The sequence below is a fragment of the Homo sapiens genome, chromosome X (assembly GCF_000001405.40).
Source record: "Homo sapiens chromosome X, GRCh38.p14 Primary Assembly".
Taxonomy (NCBI): domain Eukaryota; kingdom Metazoa; phylum Chordata; class Mammalia; order Primates; family Hominidae; genus Homo; species Homo sapiens.
In genome coordinates this window covers 67,723,051-67,731,138 of record NC_000023.11, presented here as the reverse complement: position 1 = coordinate 67,731,138, position 8,088 = coordinate 67,723,051, and the positions used below count along the sequence as shown (strand labels likewise).

Sequence of the window (8,088 nt, the reverse complement as noted above, 5' to 3'; positions counted from 1 at the left end):
TAAATATTAATACTGAGAGGCCACAAGAAGAGGCCTTGCTTGAACTGAAGAACCCAAAAGAAGGCTGATTTAGATTTTACTTGGGTGGTCAAGGACGGTAAGGCCCCTGAAAAATAGTGAAGATGTGAAGGTACCCATTCTTTAACTGAAGCTTGGTTAGAACTGGGCAGTGATGACACCATTTTATGCTCCTACAAGGATAAGGATGTGAAGGTGGGCAGCTGGGCTTTGTGTGGCTTTTCCCCAGCTGACAAGTTTGGGGTTTTTCAAGAGAAGTTGTGATGGGTCACCAGTGTCCATCTGTGCTTTCTAGCCCAAATTCCTTGTTATTTTGGTGGTCCCAGGTCAGCTTATGCTAAGGCCACCACAGGGCAAATTTGTAACCCTTGTGCAAAGACTTTTAAAAATATATGAAAATCAAAATAGCATAAAACGCAACCGGGCATGATACCAACTCTTGACTTCAATAAAAACAGCCAATAAAAAGAGCTAATTAAAAGAACTCTGATGACATTCATCTGAAATTTTAGATTTCTTTATGTTTTAACAAATTAACAACAATGATAAGAGGACATTAGCAGCTTTTCTTGGGTCTCTTTGTTAACAATAACTCGATCCTGCAGCCATAACAGGGGATGTGGCCAAGTTTTAGCTGGCAGACCAGTAAGCCAATATTTTACACAATGGATGACATTTCTGAAAGCAGAGGCAGAGACAGACCCAAAGTCACACATGTAGTCCAACAAACAAGTTTCTGCCATTTTTAATTGTATTTAGAGCAACAAAAGATTCCAAGATTACAAAAAGAGAACAGAACACTAGCGCTTGGAGCTGGTCCTGCTGCCCAGTGGAGGCCAAGTGCCACCGTGAGAAATGAGCCCCATCTAAAGAGATTTCAAGCAAAATTGTTTCTTTTAAGAAAATCTTTGTGTGATGCTTTCTTTCTCTCTCTCTTCTTATTTCTTTTTTCCTTCAATATTGAAAATTAATTTTTATCTCTGTTTACATAGTCTGCTCCCTCCTGCTGCCAGATTAATTCCAAGGACAGCACAAGAATGTCATGTCTGAGGCACTCCCTAATCAATGTTCCAGTCTAGAGGAAAGCAGAAAGGTGTCACTGGGTTGTGAGGGGACTTTTTAATTTTTTTTTTCTTTTTTTTGCGTGGGTCATTCTGATGGTGGCTGCTGTCAGCATCCAAGTGGCTTATGGGATAGGACAACCCCCCAGGCACTTCACTGTAGGACAGTTAGCACCAAGGGCTAAGGTTGTGAGATAATGCAAATCTGGCCTGTCACCTCTGCAGAGTACAGGTTCCCATACTGTGAGGCAGCAGCCAGAGAGGGAACCACCAGAGAAACAGCATTTCAGAATTGTCTTTCCTTTGGTGTATGGATATGTGTGTGTTCTAGTCTTTGGTGGGCAATGGAATCTGCAGCTCCATGACAATCTTGTTAAGTAGCTTATGTGGGAAGTGTTTCAGGTCACAAGGGCCACCCATTCTAAGGCTTCTCATTTAATTCCCCAGGCTAAGAGACAGGTGGGGAAAGGAAAAAACCTAGCACCTTGCTATACTGAATTGGAATCAGAAGCCAATCAATGCATATTACCTACTTTCTGGCCAAATCAAATGAGGATAAATCAAAGCTGAGTCAAAAGCTGTTTTTACTATGAAACTCCACCTGCTAAATTCAAATATCTACCACTCTTTCTATGGGTGAAAAAATTCCAAAAGATTTGTTATCTCAGCTGAAATGTCTGAAGAGGAGTAACTAATGTGGATTTTTCTGCCTTCACCTAGAAATGGTTGAGTTGGGAGGTCCTAGGCAACAGAAGTGTCAATCTCTTAATCAAAGAAAAACACCCTACCTGTGGGCAGAAATGGACCTGCACCTACAGAGATACAACTTCTAGTACTCTGACAAGTTTTAACAGAGAAAAACACATTTTCATTTGTCAAAATCTTTACAGAACATATCCAAAACCAGAATTACAGCACACAGACACCCAGTAACAAGAGCACCTCAATCTCAGGTGAGGGAATTTGTGTGAAAGATAGAGCGCTTGCTCCAGGTTCCAATGCAGGAAACTGCCCTTCTCTCACAAGGATGGTGAAGACCAAGGAACAGTTCTCTTCTTCCAACAGCTCAGGTCCCATTAGGGGGCCACTGGTCAATCACTTGGGTAGGCTTTTGGCCCCAAGTTTGGGCCTTCCCTGTGGTAAATCTCAGTCAGTTCCATTGAGTTTTTATGCTTTCCACATTCATCTGTCTTGAACTAGTAAAGTACAATGTATCATGTCCTCTACTCTTTTTATCCCTCTGCTCCTTCACAGGACCTGTGGGTCAAACCCAATAGGGGAGAAAACTTTTAGTTAACTGATCAATCCAGGTGTCTTGTTTGTTCTGAGAGAGCTTCCAAAACAAAACTGCATCCTCTCTCACAAGTACATGGCATCAGGTGTGATCTGGAACCAAATATAAAGATGCAGAGAAAGTTAAAGCTATCAGAACACACACACACACTATATATATATATATATATATATATATATATATATATATATTTCAATTTTGAAACATGGATACAAATATTCATTTACAATGTATTTCAACTTTCTGCCTTCAACTGCAGATAACTTTTTGTGCCATCCAAAGTGGGCAGAAATAAGGATTTCTGCCTGCTGTCCCTCTAGTGCAAAATCTAGTACTTTAAATGCTCCCTTATCAGCAAGGGTTTCACATCTTCAGATAAGCTAACATGGGCACTAGCAAACACAGTGGCTAAGAACAGCTCCATTTCCAACCATGCAATGATGGAGCTTCAACAATTTGCTCAGCAACTACTAGAGAAAAGGAAAGCCAGTTCTGCTTATAAAATCACTTAGTGAAGGACCCATAATCCCATTTTCCCGAAATTATTTTCAATTCTTCTAAACATGTATATTATTAGGGAAAAAAAAACCCACAAAGCTCTTATAAGTCAGTCACCAGCAGAGTCCTTTAGTCTGTCTTTGGACAGCTTATCAAAGAGGCACTAATGCTTGCTCCCCCCCTGCCCTTATGAATTTTGGTATCTTAGCAGGTACAATGTAATCTTTGGTTATATAATGTGATGCTTTCATCTCTCTTTTTAAAAACTGCTTTAAAAGATTTTCAAAAAGATTAATGGTGAGAACAGATCTGCCTACAAAGGCATCAGGGGTAGAAACTTCCTTTTCCAAGAAACTGAACATGCTGAATGGCTTATTTTGACTTTAAGTTTTGGATTTGATCTGGTGCTTTGGCATTCCTGATTCCCATGACCCCTTGTAGTGGGTCAAACATGAAAACCACTCCCTTGGCCCAGTGCCCTCTCACCTGGGCAACTGGCACAAGATAATTCGTAGACAGTCAGCCTCTTATTTTTCCAGGGCTATGCAGGGGCCATGCTCGGGTAGTTACTGGGCTGTCTGGAGAGAGTCTCCTGAAATGCAGCTTTGGTGCAGGGCTGGGAAGGGGCAGAGGAAGTGGCCTGGGCCTTTATGCCCTGCCAGATATCAAGGGAGAGAAGGGGGGAAAGGCCACATCTGTGCTGTGCCTAATGAAACAAACACTTAGAAGCTACTTGAAGCTCAATGTTAGCTCATTTGTGCATCATGTGGATGGTGGACATATTTTCTCTTAAAGTACAAGTCAAATAAAACTTGCTATGTATGCCTATATGTATTTAGAAGTAGAGTATGGACAGAGAGGGACTCTAGCATCAGCACATTATTTTTCAACCTGGACAATTACCTCAGCAACTACCCAAAGGACAGAATGAAGCTCTCTATATTTTTTAGTGCCAGTGAACATACATAAAAATATATGTATTACAGATTTTCTTTTTTCAAAGATATATGACAGTCCTTCAAAATATCCCTTTCTCAGAGTAAGGGAGTTAAAAAAATAATAAACTTTCCAAGAACAACAATATTGCCTATGGCATAGAAAAAGCTATGAAACAAAGAATCCAACAACTCCCATGTCAGCTCAGAGGCTGGGCCTAGGCGAGCTGCCCAATGAACGAGAGCTGAAACTGCCACACGACTCTTTTCTTTGACTACAGAGTTCGTGATCCTGGCAGCTGTCTGCTGCCCAGCACAGACGGAGCCTTCTCCCTGGTGCTCCTTCTTTTTCTCTTCCTCACTCTTCGTCCACATCGAGCACTGCCAACTTGTTTGGAGATGGTCCTTGTGACTTTTCCAGTGAGTGATCCTCATCTTCTAGCTCACCAGCTAAGTGGGTCTGAGTGGCCAGTCCCTCACAGGTGAGTACAGTATACCAACCATACCAACTCTGTTTGTAGAGCAGAGCGCATGCAAAATGAGACTTCTGTCAATTACATTGGCTAGAACATCAATGGCCAAAAGAAAAAAAAAATCCTCCTCCTTTCATCCATGGGAGAACAGAGCCAAGCTAAAATCTCCTTTGTTCACTCAAACCCAAGCACAGAAAGAGTAGGCCTAAAGGCTTGTGTAGGCTATTTTTCCCTAGTTTTGTCATTTGGAAATTTGGAGTAATCCAGTTGTTGCTTTTAATTACACTGCTGTTTCACTGATTTTTGGCTTTTGCAAATGAAAAACATATATTCATGAAGACAAGAGTCACAATTGGGAAACCCATAAAGATGAAAAATTTGATAGAGAAATGTAAAGGAGAGCTTCTAGTATTTACAAGGAGAGATATGAAAATGATATAATTCAATCTGTGTATCACAAAAGATGAAAATCATTCCAAAACAGATGTAAAGGACCTATTAAAATGTAACCTAGTGTAACTGAAAAGAGTGGTGGATATTTTTTTCTGTTTAAAACAGCTAAAAGTGATCCTGTACATGAGCCAGATTGTGTAATAATAAAGAAAACCAGAACATGTCTATCCCACCCCAAAAAGGGAACCTGTCAGCTTTAGTTTTCTCCAGCAGTCTTGGATTGGCATATTACTCATCTTAGGTTCCCCTCTCCCTTGTTATTTAAAGCTGTTTTGAAGTTCGTTTGGCTATTAATATCAATGCAGAAATCAGGGAAGGAAACCCTTGTGGATCATATCATGTCACTCAGAAACTATCCTCTCAACAAACAGAGTGAATCAATTAAAATGGGCAGCTTGATGACTGGCCCTTGATTTCTTGAGTTCAACAGATGAGATTAAGAGCTAAGTAAGGAGGCAGAGGCCAAGATGAGAAAGTAGGTGGACATTTTCCCTTGCACTTGGGCTTGAAGAACGAAGTCAACAGAACACAGGTGTGCCAAAAGACTATATAAAACCAGTGTCCCAGGGCACACCCTGAGTTCATGGGTGGCAAAGTATTGGAGCCACACCAACCAGACCTTTCCGAAAGAAGCCATGGTTCTGTAGAAAGTCTCAATGGTTTGGCCTCCCTCTGACTAAGAGGCAGCAACAAAGGTGGGGAATCTGAGTGAGTATGGGCAATGTCAGAGCCCAGAATCAGCAGCAGAGGAGGATGATGAGTAAACTCACCAGATGGTGTCCATCTGGCTTTAGGCTTTGCCGCTGAAGATTTTAATTCAGTAGTCAGAGTCTCCTCTTTGTTCCTTCTCTCTTCTCATGACTTCTGCAGGTGGATATGCTGGGTGACAAGAAGAGCATTTGCAGGGTTTCTGGTTCTAGTGCCTTCATTCTTCCCACCCTGGTAATTGAGTTTTCTCTTCAACCCTGATCTGGGTAGCCCCTTTAGCTGCTCTAAAGAAGGAAGTGAGAACTTCTCCACTTGCTGGGAGGGTATCATCTCTGGGGGACAAGGGCAAGACGCCCAGCTTGCCTGATCCCTTTGATGCCTTCTTTCCAGTTTGTCTAAGGGCTCCAGCGATCTGAGAGTTGGTAAGAAATCTTTGTGACTACTGGCATCTACAGATAGATGTCAGAGCTGTTGGCCTGCTAACCTTCTTGGTGGTGGGGGCTCTTAACAGAGAATCTGTGAACATGCCCAAAAGAAGCAAACAGGCTTGATGACCATGGCTGAAATGCAGTGTGATGAAATTCAGGCCCACAAAACACTGAAGGGAGGACATAAGGTGCTTGTGGCTTCACGGAGTTTGGCAGAAAACTTCATTCAGGTCTTTTAAAGGTGGGGAAAAGGTAGTGGCAGTGAGAGTTTAACTATTCAGTCAGTGTCCTAAGCAGGAGAACAGCCAAGCTATCATTTTCTTCTCCTCTGGCTCCAGCTCCTCCCTGACTCACACATGAGAAAGCAGACCTGGATCCAAATGGGGCCTTACAAAGGGTTAAATCTCTGCTCTCCTTCTTCTCAGTGGTCAGACTTTTCTGTGGAAGTCGCCAAGTTTTGGCTGAAGAGAACATTCAGTTCAAAGGTCTTAGAAAAACTATTGAAAGTCAATCTGAAGTTGGAGGCAGAGAGTGAGAGAGAAAAGGGTTTGGGGGTGAGGCATTAACATGCAGACAAATTTTCAACAACAAGCACATTTTCAGTATAATGAATTGCTCCACAGTTGAGCAGTCTAGCCCCCAGGGACCAAGGCTGTGGGCAGGTACTGATGCTCCATTGCCCTCCTTGTCCTCTCCTCTCTGTCCACCCCCCTGCCCAACTCAGCTCTGGGGTCACTCTGCCCTCTAATGGCAATAGCCATTGGCAGAAAATAAAGTCTCCCGTGGAGGGAGGAGATGAAAAAATCAGTAACTCCCCATGGGCCTGCAATTTTCACCTTCTCGTCACTATTGGCCTCTTTGGGGATTTCTATATGTTTGTATGTATGTGTGTATGTATGTACGTATTTATTTATTTATTTATTTATTTTTGAGGAAAAAACACTAGCAAGGTTTTTTGGCTTATTTTTTGTTTTGTTTTTGCTTTTTTTTTTTGTTTGCTTGTTTTTGTTTTGATTTCCCCAGATAATCTTAGCTCTCTAAACTTCCCGTGGCATAAGATAAGTAAACGTTTGTGTGGCTGGCACAGAGTAGTGCTGTAAACAAGCACAACTTGACACTGGGCCATATGAGGATCATCACAGATTTAAAGGCATACAACACCATTCAAAACACAGATAGGAGCCACAATGGGAAGCAAAGTCTGAAGGTGCCATGGGAGGGTTAGATAGGGAGGGAAGAAGAAAAAGAAAGGAGAGAAAGAGAAAAAAAAAGCCCAGCAAATAGAATTCAGGAACATGTTCATGACAGACTGTACATCAATAGAGGAAATTCCCCAAGGCACTGCAGAGGAGTAGTGCAGAGTTATAACAGGCAGAAGACATCTGAAAGGGGGCATGAGCTGGGGTGGGGAAATAGGGTTTCCAATGCTTCACTGGGTGTGGAAATAGATGGGCTTGACTTTCCCAGAAAGGATCTTGGGCACTTGCACAGAGATGATCTCTGCCATCATTTCCGGAAAGTCCACGCTCACCATGTGTGACTTGATTAGCAGGTCAAAAGTGAACTGATGCAGCTCTCTCGCAATCTGTAGGGAACAATAAGAGGGAGAAAAACAGGGTTGACAAGGAGGTGGCCTCTGCTAGCCTCTTCCCCAACCTCTGATTTTTGGTCTTTCAGCCTTTTGTTTCCTCCCCCTTCCCCGTACTTCCTTGGTCCTCCCCCATGAGGTCGTGTGTGTGTGTGTGTGTGTTAGAGAGAGACAGCGAGAGAGAGAGAAAGAAATGGTCTCCATGGAGTCACTGAGGGCTCCCAAGAGATGTCTTATACCATTGTAAGCTCTCTGACTCAAGACTTCTCCAGCTTGTGCTCTCACCCAAGCCTCCGCACTCCATCTCTCTCTCTCTCTCTCTCTCTCTGACACACACACACACACACACACACACACACACACACACACAGACAGACAAACTCACATGAACATGACTCAAAGAAGAGGGGAAAAACATCCAGGTCTGTTTTGTCTGCCTAGAGAATTCATCTGCTGCAAGTCCCTTCCCTGAGTCCCAACTGCTCTGTTCTCAACTCCTCCACCCCTTTCACAATATCCAGCTGGGACACTGTGACCCGTGTTCTTTTCTTCACCACATTTTCTTCCTGGACCACACTCAAAGCCAGAGGGGAATGGAAGCACCTCCCAACAGGTGGTGCCAGACTCTAGAG

At 42.9% G+C, this 8,088-nt stretch overlaps 1 protein-coding gene across 2 annotated transcripts in view; it reads right to left on the bottom strand.

Annotated features, from left to right (window-relative positions):
* The window catches only part of AR (androgen receptor), a 186,599-nt gene continuing 179,030 nt past the window's right edge, over nt 520-8,088 (bottom strand). For both annotated transcript variants that reach the window (NM_000044.6, NM_001011645.3), the window contains one exon: nt 520-7,453. In NM_000044.6, the coding sequence (NP_000035.2) occupies nt 7,298-7,453 (156 nt within the window). In that variant the 3' untranslated portion in view covers nt 520-7,297. The remainder of the gene's footprint in view (nt 7,454-8,088) is intronic.